This window comes from Homo sapiens, chromosome 1 (genome assembly GCF_000001405.40).
Source record: "Homo sapiens chromosome 1, GRCh38.p14 Primary Assembly".
NCBI classification, from domain to species: Eukaryota; Metazoa; Chordata; class Mammalia; order Primates; family Hominidae; genus Homo; species Homo sapiens.
Window position 1 is genome coordinate 8371135 of NC_000001.11, and position 18820 is coordinate 8389954.

An 18820-nucleotide genomic window follows, 5' to 3' on the forward strand; every position below is an offset into this window, starting at 1 on the left:
TGACAGTGTTCCCGGCTGCAGCTCTTGCCAAGAGAAGTGCTCAAATCCATTGGGCTATATTTAGCAGATTCTCTCTCCTTTCCTTTTTCTTTTGGCGGTGGGGGGGCTAAATTTTTCCCACAGGTCATATGCAAAAAGCCTTTGGCAATGACAGGAGCTTGGCTCCTGGACTTAGGAGTCTCTTCCCAGCAGAGGTGTCTTTCCAGGCTATACACTAAGATGGAGTTAGGAAAATAAGCACCATTAGGTTCCTTTAATTTCCCACAAAAAGAAAAACAAGGGGAAGGGAGTGCCACACATGGAAGAGAGAGGGAAGAAGTAGTAAGCTGCTTGGCACCAGGCAATCTGGGTGAAGGGCCTTAGGAGAGAAGGAAAAAGCTAAGGATGCAGAGTCAGCTGACTCTGGGCCTAGCGGAGGGACAGCTCAGCGGCAGCCGCTCCTGCCATCCAGGGGCCTGCTGGGCTCAGGCCACTTTCTCCTCCTCAGCCACCACTTTATTTCTGCCCCCTCCAGGGTTAGGCTGCAAGTCTATCAAGTTCACACAGACACAACGTAAGACATCAGCACAGGTCTTTAAGAGCTCCCTCCGCCGCCTGGGCAATCTGGGCTGGAGCAACAGGGGCCGGGGCTGCCTACCTCCTAGAGGCTGCCTGTACCCATTTCAGGTATTAATACTGGTTCTGCTGTTCTGGCCAGGCCCAGTTCTGCTTTATCTTGGGTAAGTGATAGGCAACCCGACCCAGGGGCCAAGTGGGTGCCCCTGTGTATGTGCATGTGTGCACAGATGTGAGCAGGGTCTCCTCCCAGGCTTTCCAACAGGCCAACTTACCTGTGCGCATTTGGTAAACTAAACACTATCCACCAACACAACTGCTATTTAATTTCCCACAGGCAGTGGAATGCTACGGGAAGAGAACCTGTAACCTGTCCTGTGATAAGCCACATGTCTTCTCTCTCTTTAGGGGCATGGGGGAGTGAAAGAGTAGAAGAGATTGTTGAAGAAGAAGGCACTGGAAGCATTTTGACTATAAAAGGCTCACTCGTAGCAAGCATGCCTGTTTCAAACAGTATGGGGCCCAGCTTCTCTTCTGCCCGAGCCCAGCATGAACTGCTCAGACAGGATCCTCTGAGAAGCTGACATGGAGGCAGGAGAAGGTTAAATCAATGGTTTCTGCTGTCCCATATTAGAAGCATAAGGGTACACCCAAGATTGAGTCCCACTTTTTTTGGTAATTATATCATTATTACCACATCACCCAAGAAGTCTGGACACTCCCCTGAGGAAGGGGAGGGAGTGCAATAGAAGATGAGGTCTGGAGACTCCCACACACGGTATCCAGGGTGTCTGCAGCCTGCCACCTACCATCAGGTCGTGTGTGTGTGTGTGTGTGTGTGTGTGTGTGTGTGTTTTAAATTAAGCCAAAGAAGGACTCAGTCCTTTGTAAATAACCGTATGCGCACCCCCTTTCGATTCAGTTCACAGAGAACAGTGAGAATCTTCCACTGTCACAACACAGTTTTACGACCAACAGCAAAGAATGATGAGGACTGCTGGCCTTACGGCTATGTTAAGGAAGGCCCTGGAACACCAGTTTCCTGCCTCCTTGCCCATGCAGACAGAGGGGAGATACAGGCAGGCAGGCATCTAAACCAGATCCCTGCAACGTCACATATGCCCAGGCTCTGGCCTTGTGCCACTAGTGAGGGTCAGCTGCAGCTCCTTTCTTTTTCACAAACGAAGTTTCCAATGGGCACCCTTTCTGGGCCATGCATCGCCCACTAAAAAGGAGGGGGCAGTCGGAGAGAAGGGGGATGAGGAGGCAGGCCTGGAAGCTTCTCATGGATAACAGGATTATAAACACAATTTCTTTCCGAAGCTATTTCACAGGTCTTCGAAGCCCACCTACCACTGTCAGCTGAGCAGACTGTAGTTACGTGATGGGACAGGAGCCAACAGGGGCAGGGCTGCTGAGTGCACATCCTTGTACGCACCTGACCCCATCGCAGAGTCTTAGAAGTAAGCATTTAGAAGAAATCATTTTAATTCTTTAAGACACAAGATTATCTGTTCCTATGGCTAAACAAATATTTTAACATGAATACAGAAGGAGCAGCTAAATAATCTCTACACAATGCCTTAACTCTCGGTGCTAATGTGCAATTAGAGTCAGAATGTTGTTCCCCTGCTTAAACTTTTGTTTGAAAAAATGCCCCACAGTGAGCATCTGGCTCCTTCTTTGGTGGTCCACGTAAAGGGGATGAAGAAATCCACCCCTTCCTTACTGAAGTGGAGAGATCTAAAACTTTTTTTTAAGGTATGTTTTTTCAGGGAGAAATCCCAGCAAGCAACAAATAATAAAAAACAAGGCCTCAAATTATGTAGGGCAGAGAGGGAGAAAGAAGCATGGTGTAGAGCTGCTTCCTAAACCCGGGCCCAGAGAGTGACCCAGGCCATGAGGAAAGAGCTGTGGCCCTGAGAGCCGGTCCCAGGAAGTCTGCATGCGACGCTGTCCCCTGAAGAGCTGCCCTAACTGGAGTGCTCCAACGCTGCTGCCGAGTGCAGTCAGGAACATTTCCTGGCATGGAATCCTATGCGAGTCATTCTTTCCTTTCCCTCCCCAACGATTCAAGGGCTGGATCTGACAACTGTTCAGAACATCTGAGGTGAGAAGCCGGGCACTGGGCAGAACCAGCAGCGATATTCAGGAGCAGCCACCTTCTACAGATCTTTTTCCAGGAGGCAACCGGTTGTCTTCCAGTAACAACTCTGGTAATTAAAGCACTGTTCTCCTGGGCTCCTTCTTTTGTTAACCAACCGAATCCTCTAATCCCTAAAGGAGCCTGGCACTGTCAGCGGGCTCTGCTGCTAATCGTTAAATATCACCTCTGTGGTCTCTGAGTGCAGCAGGGAGAATGATGATCTGCTTGAAGGCACACGCAGAGAAGTGGAATTCTGAAATCTCAGCCTCCTACGTTCAAGAGGCCGAAGGGCTCTGATCTAAACCGCCACCCACGAGGAAGCCCACAGTGAGGAGGCAGCTGCCTCCAGGCAAGGCAGTCCCTCGGTGCCACCTCCAGATCCTCTTCTGGGGAAAGGCAAAGGGAAAGGAGGGAAGTACGTGAAGGTCTTGTGGCTTTAACTTGTAAATAGGTGGGGCCAGTCTAAGACACTCATGAAGATGTTCCTTACCCAGGCACCTTTTTATAACATTTTAAAAAATCAGTTAAAAAAAATTTTTTTTTTACCACTACATTTACCACTCCATTTGTACAGTGCAAAGGAACTGCAATAGCTCAAGATTTCTGCCAACACTGAACACTGTAATGAGATTTCCTAAGCTCTGTGTTGTTCTGGTGGATGAACTCAGCCATTTGCTAATCCCACCCTGGCCCCACACCTCCACTCAGACGTCTGGACCTGAGGTCCTGCCACAGCTCTTCCCTGGGCCGGCCCTCCCATGCTGCACACAGACCAGGTGAGTCTTCCCAAAGCCCCGCTAGTACCTTGCCACTTCTTCTCCAAACGGTCAAAGGTTCCTCAGGGCCTAAGGAACAAAGGCCCAGCTGCTTGACTACTTCTTCTGAGACTTTCTCTGTGTTACCGGAAGACTTTTCTACCATATTCCTTTCTACCATATTCCCCCGCCTCACGGCCTTTGGCTTATGTCAAACACAATGGCCAGTTTTCTGTTCCTCAGCACTCTCCTGCCTGCTGGGTGAGCCCCTGAGCCCCATACCACCCCCACCTCCTCCTCTGTCCAGGCCCTGTAGTCCTCCTCATCACTCAGGACTCAATTCATCACATTTGCTGCCTTCTTCTCCATGAAGCCTTCCCTTCACTTCACTCCCCCACCACTGGATGGCATCATACAGGTTTCACTCCTACATCTTTTCATTCCCGCCTCTGTGCTGGCACAGACAGGCTTCCCTGTGCTGTAACCATACATGGGCCCACCCAACTTGCCAAAGTACGTGCTATCTCATCTGTGAGTACCCCACAGGTCTAAGACAACATCTTGAATAAGTATTCAGTAAACATCTGATGAAATGATTATTTCTGGAGAATTAAAATTCACCTGAAATTAAAAGGATAAAACTTTTGAGAAATGGATACCGAATTGCCACTTTCTTATTTTGCCATGTAAGGTCATTAGAAGTAACTGCCTCCTGATCTCATCATTATTTTGTAAAAGAAATGACATTTTATCTCCAAAAAAGTAAACAGAAAAAGTTCTTTGATTACATTTACTGTTAGGAAAAATGGCTACATTTATTTCTTATGGGCCAGTGAAAACGCAATCCACATGCCGATGTTTGGAAGTGGCTGCTCTGAAGGTGAGTATCATGGAATGGTGGCTTAGGAAGCCACTGAAAATGCTTCCTCACTCAGCAGCCACTGAAAATGCTTCCTCGCTCAGCAGCCACTGAAAATGCTTCCTCGCTCAGCAGCCACTGAAAATGCTTCCTCGCTCAGCAGCCACTGAAAATGCTTCCTCACTCAGCAGCCACTGAAAATGCTTCCTCACTCAGCAGCCACTGAAAATGTTTCCTCACTCAGCAGCCACTGAAAATGCTTCCTCACTCAGCAGCCACTGAAAATGCTTCCTCACTCAGCAGCCACTGAAAATGTTTCCTCACTCAGCAGCCACTGAAAATGCTTCCTCACTCAGCAGCCACTGAAAATGCATCCTCACTCAGCAGCTTTATTTACAAACAAGCAAACAACATTTTACTATGAAATCTACAATAACTAAGCTAAGCCATATCTTTTTATATCTTAATATATATTTATCTTTTACATATACTTTATCTTCATCTTTATTTATATTTTATCTTCACAGACTCCCAAATAGATAAACCTTCATTTTCCCTGCTTTACAAATGAGGCAACTGAAGCACAGTGAGATGAAGCCATGTGGCCAAGCTCAGTTTCAATGAAGTCTAACGCCCTTAACCTTAGACTCTGCTGTGCTGCTGCTCTAAAACGTTTGACCATCATGGTTTAAAGCACTAAGAGGAAATAGCCATCTAGATTTTTTTAAGTGAGGGGGGCAAATTTGGGCTATCTTTGATCTCTGGAATCTCTGGAGTTCAACGCAATAGCATCTTAATCTTCATACCTGGACCTTCGCAGTTATGGCTGAGGAGCACAAAATATCCCTGTGCCTCCTGGTAATAACAGGATGCCAGCCTTCCCAGCTCAGGGTAGAGCCCCCATCCCAGCACCCATGGACTACAGAACTGCACCTGCTTGAAGCAACTTCAGGGGCACACAAATCAGAAGCACATTTGGTAGCCATGAGTGAAGATTTAGAATTATGCACATGTCTATAGAAACGCTTTCTGCTTCCTATACCAAGAACAACCTCTATGACGACATGAGACAGACGCTGGGAGCCTACAACCATGAACCCTCCCCACCTCACTACCTACTTACCATACCTCACACCACCCACCAGCTTCTGATACAGGAGAAGCCCTCTGGCCTACTTTTGGCTCTAGGCAACATATGTCCCAGAAATGTGCCAATAAGTGGCCTTCACCTGCCTCTTGATCCAAAAGCAGTGATGCCTGAGTCTAGATAAGGTAGAGTCCCTAAAGAGATACGGGCTCTGCCCAAAAAAAGATGTTTGCATACACCTACTATACAAAGCATCTTTCCAAACTGCTTCCAGCTAGAAGTATCTATTTAAATCAGTGGTTCTGAACTGCGGCTCAAAACCGTACAGGTGTTGGAGGGATCCCAGGGTGGGTCTGCTGAACCTCTATGACCTTGTTGCTACCCACTGCAAGCAGATCTATTAAAAAAAATTATATTCATTGATCAAGCAATAGATAACTATTGGTTTCCTTGTTTGTTTGTAAATAAAGCTGCTGAGTGAGGAAGCACTGACAGTGGCCTAACTTCAACTTAATTAAAAAATAATAGTAATTAAAATAATTTAAAAATAAATAAATAACAGATTTGGAAACCACTCATTTGAAGGCAAAGATTGAGGCCACTGCAAAACAGTCTAAAGCTCAGGCTGAACTGAAAGACTCCCACGACATGAGGGGAATCACCCCGGCCTCTGGCCTGGAAGCCCTGGGCAGTTCCAACACAATTTCACTTACATGGAACCCACACACACAAGGGCCCCCTTGGAGGCTTGTATTTCTAAACCTCTTGGAGGTTTATTTCTTGTTTTACTGAACTGTTTGTTTAAATATAGGATGTAAATATTTTAAGTGTAATAATGCTAATACCAGAAAAATCTTGTTTTCTCGGTAGAGCCTCCCAAACCCTAAGAATTCATTTGTTGACATCACTTTTCTTTCCCACAAGCTGAACACTTCATTATTTCCTGAATTCATTTTATTAGAGTTCAGAAACAGGGCAAGTGGGATTTCACTGCCGTTGGTTCTATCGCCACCTCACCTTTCTTGATGTTTTCTACCAGCAAAGGGGGAGGAGACGAAAGAAAAAACGAAAGCCATAAAACTGTTAAAACTACCATTCTCTATCTCGTAAACATTTTTCTATTTATTGGCCTTTCATTATATGTGCAATCTTATTATCCCTGCACAGCATCAAAGTGACATCCGTCAGGGTCACCTTATAAAATATACATCGGCAATGTAACGTTTAATGACGGGAGCGGGACGAACGATGAAGGATGAGAGAGCGAGGCCTGCCGCAGGACGTTTGAAAGGGATCATCAGTTATATCTGTGCATTTCCCGAGGTGATAATTGAATGACAGGGGCTGGAGGGAAATCCATTTTTGAGCTCAGAAAAGATAGTTAGGAGAAAAATGTTTTTGTATTGGAAGCATGTAATGACTGCCAGGAAATGGGAACAGCTACTCTAACAACACTTCTCTTATATTTTATGGTTTTTATGGATGCACAGCAAATTATCATGTATAATCCATTTCTGCAAGTTGAATTTTAAAATTGCTCAATACAAAGAAAGGAAAAGAAAGGGTACTTAATTTTCTCACTGCATTACCTTTAATAAAAGGAGCGGAAACAAAAATTACACTTCAAAGCACAAAAACACAAGTACAGTACCGTACCCTCTTCAAGATGTGAAATGTCTCATCTCTTTCACCTGAATTTTGGACTTCACCTAAGGCAAACATCTTAGAAAAATTCAGGCAAGCCTGCAAACCAGGCCCTGGCTTCTCTGTGCTCTTGTGTAAACGTGCAACCAGAGCCCTCTAGCAAAGAAGCTCCAGGAAGGAAGGGGAGAGACTGCAGCTGTCTTTATGCAACTGTATTGGCTGAACTGTGTCCTCCCTCAAATTCCTACGTTGAAGCTCTAACCCCCAGGGCCTCTCAATGTGACTTTATTTGGAGACAGGCTCTTCCAAGAGGTGATTATGTTAAAATGAGGTCAAGTGAGCCCTAATCCAGTACGACTGGTGTCCTTATAAGAAGAGATGAGGACACAGACACCCACAGAAGGAAGACCACGGGAAGACACAGGGAGAAGATGGCATCTACAGCCAAGGTGAGAGGCCTCAGGAGAACCAACCCTACTGAACTCTGGTCTTGGACTTCCAACTTCCAGAACTGTAAGAAAATAAGTTCTGTTGCTGAAGCAACCCAGTCTACGGTATTCTGTCATGGCAACCACAGCAGACTAATACATAAGCCTAAGGACAGGGCTTCATGGTGAGCCTCGAGGAAAGGAGAGGAACCAGCAGAGAAGTGAGGCCTGCTGAATGAACCTCTAAGCCCTGGGCTGTGAGACGGGGCTCATGGAGCTGACTGTCAGCAGTGAAGATGCAGTCTGCTGGGGGAGAAGAACAGGTGCCAAAGGGTAGAGTAATGTGGGAAACAGCAAAATAATTTTCTACTTTAAGTGGGGCCAAACCTCGCAGCTTATCCTAGCAGCTCTAAAGGGCAAATGCCACACAGTTCCCTCACGACGGCTGCATTCTGACCCAGGAGAACCAGCCCAACTCCAGAACAGCTCTCAGATGCTGTGGATCTAAAGACAGCTGGCTCGCGTGAAGGGACACGGGGGAAGGAAGAGAACCACAAGATGGGAAGGAAAACTGCTGCCAGCAGAACACAAAGGAAGAACCCTCCAGAGTCTCTGTGGGCCTGTTTCTGACCACTTAATTCTGGTCAGTTTCCACAGGCAAGAGCCCAGCTCCATGGGGCTGGGCCCGCCCCGCACAGCCTCCCATGAAGCTGCGACCGGGGAAAGGAGGGTCATGCAGCCCATACTTCACAGACAGACAAATGTGTGAGGCTCTCTGACCACCACAGCTCTGTGGTTCCAGGGGTTTCCAAGCCACTGTTCTGGGTTCCTCACATCAACAGACACACTGCAGTTGAGAAAACACACACAACGGGAACCACCAGGGGTTCGGGTGTAATTTATGAAAACAGCCATGGATCTCCGAATCTGTGACTGTGACTGTGATATGGGCTCCACGGATTCTCTCCTGGTCCATATCTAGGTCTCCTCAAAGGTTCTTTACAGAGGGCGGCTGGCTCTCCCTTAAGAGGCCCAGGAAGTGTGGGACTGGCAGCGCCACCCCATGCAGGCTGCTATGCATGTGGGGCCCACAGGGGGCACGCGGGGGTCACTGTCTAGAGACTCTAGGAAACCGCTCCCTACTCCAAAGGGAATTTGCAAAGATGATGGGGCTAACTCCCCAGAGGAGAGCCAGGAGCTCCCTTTTCCATTTAACACACAAGTTGAATGCCAGATGGACCTAGATCTCTGCAACACGCTGTGTAGTGGGGAAGCCTGCGGGGCTGGGTGGGATCACTTCACCTAATGCAGCACGTATGCCACAAACTCACCACAGCACACCTTAGCCTGCATCAAATCCTGGCCGCTCCTGTTCTGGAGACAAATCACCACTGTTGTCATGATGGGTGACCTCAGTCACCCCACTCCAACGCCCACCTCACGGCTGACATGGCATGTGGCAGGAGGAGGTATGTCACTGTGCTCCCAGAACATACCATAACCCCATCCCTCCCACCCATGCATGTTTATGCTGGGATTGGTCTGTGATGCAAAGGTGCCCTTGGCCCTCTCTCGGGAAGTAATTTTTTCCTTCATGCCCACATGGCAAAAGGCCTGCCTCTCTTGGCATGAGAATCTCTAACAGCCTCAGAGCAAGCCATGCTGATGATGAGCTCTGCGTCCTCACTGCTCAAGCCTAGGTCCCAGACACAACTCCCAAAAGTCAACAGGCTTTTTTTTTTTTTTTTTAAACGAAACAAAACAGAGCCTTGCTCTGTTGCCCAGGCTGGAGTGCAGTGGCATGGTCTCAGCTCACTGCAACCTCCACCTCCTGGGTTTAAGTGATTCTTCTCCCTCAACCTCCTGAGCAGCTGGAACTATAGGCACGTGCCACCGCACCTGGCTAATTTTTGTATTTTTAGTAGGGATGGCGTTTCACCATGTTGACCAGGCTAGTCTCAAACTCCTGATCTCGTGATCCACCTGCCTTGGCCTCCTAAAGTGCTGGGATTACAGGCGTGAGCCACCAAGCCTGGCCCATCAAGAGCTTTTTTAAAAGCTTGATTTTCCAGCTGCAGAAAGCTTCAGAAACTTTTCAACACAAGTCAAAATCCTCAGCAATGAAGGAGAACAGAAAGGTAGAGATTTCTCTTTAAGGTGACTTCAGACTTGAGCCCATAGCCCAGGAGCCCCTCTGCTGATGAAGGAACCAAAGTCAGGGCAGAGAGGGGCGTTCCAGAGCTGGACCTTGGAGTCCTGGTCCTGAAAGTGCTCAGCGCTGCTGTAACGTCTGCCAGGGCTTGGGAGCCTCCATCTCCTACCACGTTCGGCTTCTTGAGTCCTTCCCTGGGTAAAAGGGACCAATGGTTTTTCCCACATGTCCTGCCTCTGACCCCAGGATCTCCTTGGGTGCAGACACCTGGAACGCCTTCTCCTGGTTGCTGCTGGCCCACCCCTCCAGCTCTATGTGCTGTCATCCACACCACCTCATACACACTTTACTGACCCATAGGAAGCGAGTTTCCGATGCGCCTGTTTCCATGATTACCAACTCTCTCACTCAGCTGTGACCTTTTTGTGGCTCATACATCACTGAGTCCTGCAGGATATCAAGTTATGTCTATAACATGATTCCCCTCCTCCCTTTCCTCCGACTGGACTCTAAACTGCAAGTGAACAGGGGATGTGGCCACTCTAAACCTTGTAACCTGCGCAATCATTAGCAGAGTGCCTGACACAAGATGGGTGCTCGGGAAACGCTAACTTGAACTGAGATCTATCACAGACACACAGACATAGAAGAATTATACTGCACCAGAAATACATAAAACAGAGGAGTCACTAACAGTCATAAAAGTGAAATAACTCAGTTTCAGTGATAAGAAATTTGGAAATCTTTCAGTGAACCATTTCAAAATTGAGCTAAACACACATAGGTGGAAAATTAGTTACGAGAATCAAAATTATTCAAGGTAATTATTATTTCCCTTAATTTATCTGTACATTAAAGTAAAAAACAAAACAAAATGAAAACAAAACACAAAGAGTCCCTTGATCCATTTAATTAGTTAAGGTTACTCTCAAAAATGAAAATGATTTCCCCAGCCCCGGGGACGCGCCAGTGTGAAATGAGAACAAGAGTCTTACAGGGAGTGTTCCTGCACATACACGTATGCACTAATGTGCGCTTGGAATTTACCAGAACACACGTGTTTTTTGTTTTACAAATCTATGATGAAACCACACAGGCCTTGGCTTGACACTGTTCCAGGGGCTAAGTCTTAACCTGAATTAACCAAGCTGCACTGTGGTCCAATGACACTTTGGCACTAAAAGAATAACTTCCATTTTTCTGAGGCTGAGCGTTTTCTCATTTCACGCTGTGAGAATCCTCTGGACCTGCCTTAAGAGCACTCAGGAAAGTGGTTACAGTCAAAATCTTCCTCTAAGGATTAGTAATAACACAGGACCAAAGCTCAAAAGCAGGAGAAAGTGAGCACCAAATTCCTTCAGTGTGCTGGAGCACATAGAGACTTCCTGCAGGCAGATAGCAAGAGGCTCTGGGATTATGCCTGCAAGCTAGCCATGCTGCTAGGCTCTTAACAAAACAGAACAAGGACAGCCTGCTGAGCTGTGGCCTGAAGCACCAGTAATGACAGCTCTCTGCCAACGGCAGTGGTCAACACTTCCACCAGCTTGGCTCCAGTGATCTCAGGTCCACCTTTGTGCCCACAAGTATCCCAATTTCTTCAGGACCAGGTGGCACTCTCAGCTGCCTCCACATGAATTAACGAAACTCAATTCGCAGCTTAGGCTTTGGCTCAGCCACGTGCGCATGCGTGCGTGTGCATGAGAGAGCGCGCATGCTGGGGAAGAATGGAGAAAAACAATGAACAAACATTGACTGTCTAGCCTTTTTCAACTGGAGTTCTTAAAATGAAGTGACTATTAATATTTTCTCAATTCTCCTATGAACGGAACATAACAGGTACCTTTCTAGATGCACAGGCAAGACGTTACTACGTTACACACAATGGATGCCCGGCTTCTGAGGCTTACCTCTCTCAGAACTCCGAGTGAGAACAGCTGCCACTGGCTGCACGACCTTGAGCAAATTCCCTAACCTCTCTTGGCCTCTGTTTCTTCATTTTAAAAATGGAGAAAAACCACCACAGGAAGGTTAAGGAACCTCCTCGAGACTCTCCTTATCTAGAAACCTGGGCTGCCTCGCCACGAGCTCCCTCCTTTATAGGGTTGTGGTGAGGATGGAAGTGCCAAAAAGGAGCCGGCACACATGCTCAGTAAGTGACAGGATTTTTTCTTGAAAATCCTTTTCCATCTGGGAAAAGGACCAGAAACTCAGAACTAAGTTCACCTTAAAGGACTATTTTAATTGACTAAGTTAAAAAAAAAAAAAAAGTCTTTCAAAGAATGGTTTCTGCAACCAACTTCCTTCCTCTATCATGTTTCCCCTAGAACGACAGTGCCTTATGTAGTCAAAGAATAAGAGAATGTTAGAGATGGTGAATGGTAATGGTGTCTGGGCCTAGTTCACAATCTGAAAGATAAGCGCTGGTCAAGGAGAAGAGTATTCTGTCTGAAGATCTCAGCTGCAACCAGCAGAACCATAAATGCCCAACAGCCCACTGAGGCCACCTAAGAAGCCTGTCTCCACCCAGGTCCAGCTTCTCTCTTACACAATCGGCAACAGAATGACGCCACACAAGATCATTAAACATTTCAGCAGGAATAAAAACGAAACCAAGAGAATGCACCTGCCAATCTATATCAGGCAACTATGGGGTTTGTGAGCCGTCCTTGCACTTTAATGCAGAATTAGCTTTGATGCACAGATTGGAAAGGTCCAGCTTAAGGGACTTAGAACATCCCATTATTTAATTTTATGACACCATCACTCCACTCTTAAATGTGTCGAAGAACATACACTTATGTTACAATTTATGCCCAAGGGCCAGGTGCGGTGGCTCATACCTGTAATCCCAGCACTTTGGGAGGCTGAGGTGGGTGGATCACGAGGTCAGGAGTTTGAGACCAGCCTGACCAACACGGTGAAACTTTATCTCTACTAAAAATACAAAAATTAGCCGGGTGTGGTGGCACGCACCTGTACTCCCAGCTACTTAGGAGGCTGAGGCAGGAGAATCGCTTGAGCCCGGGAGGTGAAGGTTGCAGTGAGCTGAGATTGCGCCACTGCACTCCAGCCTGGGTGACAAAGTGAGACTCTGTCTCAAAAAATAAATAAAATAAAATAAAATAAAATAAAATAAAAATGTATGCCAAACTACAATGAATTCTATTGCCGAATTTTAAAAATATTCACTTATGATAATGTGGGGCTCACTAGAGTGTCACAAACTCCAGAATGAAAATTAGTGGCTTAGATTACAAACTCTCGTAGTAGAAAGGTCTAAAGACTCTTTAGAATTAAGCTTGAAAGAATCTGTGTTTCTGATGCTGAGAAGAGCATAGGGAACAGGTTGTACAATCAACCGCCTCACCCCAAAGCCTCCTTGGGTCCACTGCTTCCTCAGGTCGGGGTCTTACTGTTTATTCCACATCGTGGCTGTCCCTCTACCCCTCTAGGCTGTGTGACTGGGAACATGTAAGCTGGGATGCACGGAGGTCCAGTCTCTCCCTGAGTCATGCGCATCCTGTTCCTGCTGCCCTAGTTTTTTCTTGTGGGATACAATGTCAGTTCTGTAATCTGTCCCCTCTGTAGGGGTAAAGAGATGTGCTGACGTGCTCAGAAAAGGAACATGCTTCTCTGGATGCCATGAGGTACTAAAACACCTGTATCTTAAAGGGGCATTAATAAGAAGAGCAGGGATCCTCTCCTGGGAACTCAAGCAATCATTTAAACAGTGCTCTCATACAGCAGCAAATAAAGAGGTAAATGAGATCTGCTTAAGGTAACAGCAAAGGTGAGCGGTTGTATGCTAACTCCAGATAGGAGTGATGAATATCTGAACTGATGAATATCACTTAAAAAGTCTTGTCACATATGATCTGGATCAGAAGGCTGTGACATCACAACCAGATGCTTTGAAGGCATTTTCTCTGCTCCCTCTAGTTACAGACAATTAACAGTTCTGTACACTCTTACTCATCTGTTCCAGAAGGCTACTAATAAAGAGGTTGGGCTACTTGTTTTTCACTCCCAGCTAAACTTTCTGTCTCCTGCTGTGGGCAGGAATGGCAGTGGCATGTGACCAGCGTTCCTGAGTGGCAGAGGGCAACAGCTGGCCATCAACATGCCAGTCATGGGCACAGCTCTCAGCCGATGCAACAACCACATTGACTTCAAGGACAATCTAAAATTGAACTCAAGGCAGCACCTAACAAGTCTCTCGTGCTTGCACCTTCCTTCTGGGCCCATCTAAAAGCAGCTCTGCAGGGCGATTTCTGCCAGCCACAGGTCCTGTGTCCTCCATCTTCCTTCCTTGGAATTCCTAGCAAGACTGAGTCAAGCATGGCCTTGGGTCTATGCTGTTCTTTATGGGAAGCACCGAGGAAAATACATCTCTTGAATTATTCTAATTGTATCTTAGAATTTAACATGTTCACTGTCTAAAATCAAAATGAGTTTCACATATAAATGGGCAATTGAATTAATAATATCAACACCCATCACAGTGTAACAAATAACTTGATTATTAACTTCTACTGACAGCCCCATGCTTCCTTCCTCAAGAGTTTCAGACTGCCCGTTTGTGCTTTGTGCAGCTAGAGGGTTCCGAACTCTCAAGAGGCCTCAGGGAAAGTTGACTCTGTGCCTTAAGCAGAAATCACAACTGATCCAAGGGAGACCCTGGATGCAACTGCAAAAAACTGAATGGTAGCAGGGGCAGGCTACCACGGAGTTTTAAATCCTGCCTTACATTAACACAAAGGAAATACAGGAATTACCCAGATGCCAAAAGGACCCTGAAGAGTATCAGATAATGATGTACTTCCAGCTCCTGGTGACCAAACAAAACAATGTAACAAAACACAACCAACTGTGGCCTCAGAACGCCTGACCAGCTACCCGGAGAGCTTTTATTTCTTGAAGGGAAGCCTTCTACCAAACAAACAAACAAACAAACAAGAAAACACCACTTTGGCGGATGGATCACTAGGTCAGGAGATCGAGACTATCCTGGCTAACATGGTGAAACCCCATCTCTACTAAAAATACAAAAAAAAAAAAATTAGCTGGACGTGGTGGCGGGCGCCTGTAGTCCCAGCCACTCGGGAGACTGAGGCAGGAGAATGGCGTGAACCCGGGAGGTGGAGCTTGCAGTGAGTGGAGATCGCACCACTGCACTCCACCCTGGGTGACACAGCAAGACTCCGTCTTAAAAAAAAAAAAAAAAAAAAAAAAAATATATATATATATATATATATATATATATTTTTTTTTTTTTTTTTTTTTTTTTTCTTGGTTCACAGCAGTCAAAAGAACCACAAAGGAGCAGTAGTTTCTAAGCTTCCATGTAGGTGAAGACAAAAATTTTTATAAATTTCATGAATACTTATATCCCAACTGTTCAAAATATCAAGATATTTAAGAAAACTTGTAGGACTACAGTTAACTATTCTCTCCTCCAAATTTTTCTTTAGAATCAGAGAGACCAAAAATAAAAAAATTAAAAAATTACCATTGCTCCTATATAAATCATAAGAATAAAATAGAGCCAAGAGAACTTCTTAGGAACCCCTCTCATCCCAAGCCAAGAGATTCTTCCCACATTGGGCATTATCAATAATGAGAACATTCCTGAGATCCTATGAGCTTGTGTGGCCCTGTCTCATAAAGACAGTAAAGCCACACAAATAAGGGTTTCCACTCCCTGGGCCTGAGCTCTGAAACCCAGCCAAGACAGAATCCCAAACAGCCAGAGAGCTTCCTTTCTGAAGGCAGTGAACTGAACATACATTATTTAAGATGAATATCTAGAACTCTTACAAATGAAAAAGAAAAGGACAATCCATTGAAAAATAAGCAAAAGACTTACACAGGCCCTTCATGAAAAAGAAACACAAACAGCCAATAAACTCATTATAGGATGCCCAATATGATTAGTAACCAGGGAAATACAAACTCCTCAAATGCCCAAATTCTTTGTGTTGGATTTTCAAGTAAAGTTTACCTCAAAGAGTTAACACAGAAGACAAAGGTTTTGAAATCTACTATATATTCTCTCAGGGGAAAAGCTGCAACTTTGGGTGCAGAAGTAGTGTGAGGAAAGGAAAGAGGATAAAAATATGACTTGAAAGGACTTCACAAATAGAAAAAAGACGGATAAAGGGAACGTACTCAAATGGATTCAACACTATCTCATTCAAAATCCCAGCTGGTTAGTTTGTGGAACAAGACAAGCTGATTTTAAAAATTTTAAAGAAGAATAAAGTGCCACTAATCAAGACACTCTTGAAAAACAAGAAAAAGGTAGGGGACCTGCTAAGTCAACTATCAACAATTATCCTAAAGCTAGACAGTGAAGCACTGGAATAGACAGAGAGACCAACAGAACAAAACAGCTTAGAAACAGATTCACACTCTTATGGAAATTTCACTTTGACATAGCTGGCAACACAAATCAGTGGAGAAAAGGCTGGACTTCTCCAGAGATGACACTGGGACACCTGGTGATGTATTACAGAAACAAGTAAATCTGGTCTCTTTCTTTATGCTACACAATCACCAAACCCACGGACTAAGAACTTAAATACGAAAAGCAAAATTATAAAACTTTTAGAAAACAGTAAGTATAGGAGACTGCCTAAATGACCAAGAGAGATTTCTAACAAATAAAAGCTCAAAGTATAAAGGCTGATACATTTAAGGAGAGAGGATAAAATCGTTAAAATTAACAACATATTAATCTTTAACCAATCATAAAAAGTGTGAAAAGATAAGCCACAAGCCAGAAGGTATTTGCAACACACATTATTTAAGATGAGTATCTAGAACTCTTACAAATCTAGAAAAAGACAATCAAATTGAAAAGTAAGCAAAAGATTTATATAGGCCCTTCATAAAGAGGAAACACAAATAGCCAATAAACTCATTAAAGGATGCTCAATATGACTGGAAACCAGGGAAATACAAATTAAAATCACTCAGACATTTCAAGTTTATAATGTTGGTAAGCATTTTAAGGTCTGATTCTATCAAGTGTTGGCTAGGATGTGAAGTTACTGGAATTCTTACATACAGCTGGAAAAACAACAATCTGCTTTTCTTGGTAAAATAGCAGATACGCATACCTGTAACTCAAAAATTGTCTTAACTATACCCTAAAGAATTCGTGTGCATGTGTGCCAGTTGATGTGTGCAAGAAAGTTTACAGCAGAACTGTATGCAACAGCAAAACACTGGAACCAACTGAAATGTCCATCAACAGCAGAAAAGAGAAGGAAAAGACGCTCTATTCATACAAGGCTGTGAAGTACCACAGGATGCAGAGCTGCCTCTCGGGATAAAGGGGAATGAAAACAGCAAGGTGCAGGACATTTTTCCTCCATGACTCCATTCATAGGAAGTTCAAAGACATGCAAAACTAATATACTGTGTAGCAATACACATATATGAGGCAAGCCATAAGGAAAAGGAGGGGGGTTATAGCAGAATACCCAGTCTAGTGGTTATCTTTGCGTGGAAAGGACAGGGGATTGCACCGGAGAGGAAACAGTCTGTGCAATCTTTTTTTTTTTTTGAGACGGAGTCTCACTCTGTCGCCCAGGCTGGACTGCGGACTGCAGTGGCGCAATCTCGGCTCACTGCAAGCTCCGCTTCCCGGGTTCACGCCATTCTCCTGCCTCAGCCTCCTGAGTAGCTGGGACTACAGGCGCCCGCCACCGCGCCCGGCTAATTTTTTGTATTTTTAGTAGAGACGGGGTTTCACCTTGTTAGCCAGGATGGTCTCGATCTCCTGACCTCATGATCCGCCCGCCTTGGCCTCCCAAAGTGCTGGGATTACAGGCGTGAGCCACCGCGCCCGGCCCAGTCTGTGCAATCTTAAGCTGCGTGGTGGCGACAGTTCACCGTGTGGCTGTTTTTATACCATACACAAATGCTATATTCTTTTGTAACTCTTCAATATTTAACTAAAAAAAATTTAAACCAGAAGATTGTCAAATATATTCCAATTCTGCATTTAAAGAAAGGTTTCTCTTCTCTACAGATAATTTGGAAATGATATGCAAGTGCTTCCTTGCTCATTAGACAGCTAGGTAAGGGGTTTAATGACTTCTCTTCCACCTGACCTCACTTTTCCCACTGCCACCTGCCCGCCCACTCTAAAGGTGCTGTCCGAGCTCCACAGCACACCCACTGCAGGGATACTCCCACTTGGGAGCACACTTCTGTGTCCCTGCTCTTCAAACCCAAATGACCTCCCTTCTCTTTCTTAGGATCACTGTTTTCCTGAGTATTGTATTATCTTTAGGAAAGTACAGTGCTTATGAAATGACACTTCTTAGAAAGACATGTGTCAGCTGGGAAGGGTGACATGAAATCTTCAAAATTATCAAAATCAGTCTAAAATAAGCAGAGCTGTGCTTCTAGATAAGGCCGAAAATGACTACTCCATAGGTGTCAACAGTCTCCAAATATAATCTACAGCACAAGTAGCCTCAGGGGTATGAAGAATATGTCTGTGAACTCATGTCAACCCACTCTCATGTCTGTGTAAAACCTGAAAAACTAAATACATACACGGGAGGTACTAAAACCTTCATCCCCAGCATCCACTGGCGTGTGACGTCAACGCCTTGTTCTTTATTCACGGCCATTTCAGAAACCTCTGTGCCACCCCGTCCATTTACTTCTAGATTTCTGCTGCTGTGCGGCTCAGTGGATGCCCCTACTTTAGGGAATCCCAGCAGGCGCACCCTAGCACGAAAAGCCAAGGTCACTGTGCCTCTTGTTTACAACAACACAAAAAAGGTCTTAGGCAAGACCCCCCTACCGCCACACATGCTAACAAAAAACCATGAGGAAGGGGTGGAATTCTCTTTGGTAACCCATGCTTTGCAGTCAATTTGAGGTTCATGTTGGGAGGAGAAGTCGGGGAGCCACCACGGAAGGTCGCATGGAGGGAACCTCACCACTTCCCTCTATAAATGAAGCCCCAACTGTAGTATGCGAATAAAACAATCCGTCAGCTAAGTGCACGTTGTTTTGTATACATTAATAGTTTTCCATTTGTGAGGAGAAATCAGGGCAGCAATGACGACCCTGTCTCTTAAACGCATCCACTTCTGCAAACAGTTCATCACCTCCAACCACCAATGGCCAAAGAGTATCTCCCCTAGGATCCTGTTCAATCTCTCTGTGGA

At 45.3% G+C, this 18820-nt stretch overlaps 1 protein-coding gene across 3 annotated transcripts in view, besides 3 other annotated features; it reads right to left on the reverse strand.

Moving 5' to 3' along the window:
• RERE (arginine-glutamic acid dipeptide repeats) overlaps positions 1–18820 on the reverse strand; it is a 465237-nt gene that overhangs the window by 18731 nt on the left and 427686 nt on the right. The window lies entirely within an intron of this gene.
• Positions 2375–2669: a silencer, noted in NCBI's record as "tiled region #599; K562 Repressive non-DNase unmatched - State 18:Pol2". NCBI's record gives its function as "represses a minimal TATA promoter and a strong SV40 promoter by Sharpr-MPRA in K562 cells {active_cell/tissue: K562}" and the evidence as "EXISTENCE:reporter gene assay evidence [ECO:0000049][PMID:27701403]".
• Positions 2375–3229: a biological region, named in NCBI's record as "Sharpr-MPRA regulatory region 599".
• Positions 2537–3229: an enhancer, noted in NCBI's record as "NANOG-H3K27ac-H3K4me1 hESC enhancer chr1:8433731-8434423 (GRCh37/hg19 assembly coordinates)". NCBI's record gives its function as "activates a minimal SCP1, AML or CMV promoter by ChIP-STARR-seq in naive H9 embryonic stem cells {active_cell/tissue: H9 hESC(naive)}" and the evidence as "EXISTENCE:reporter gene assay evidence [ECO:0000049][PMID:30033119]".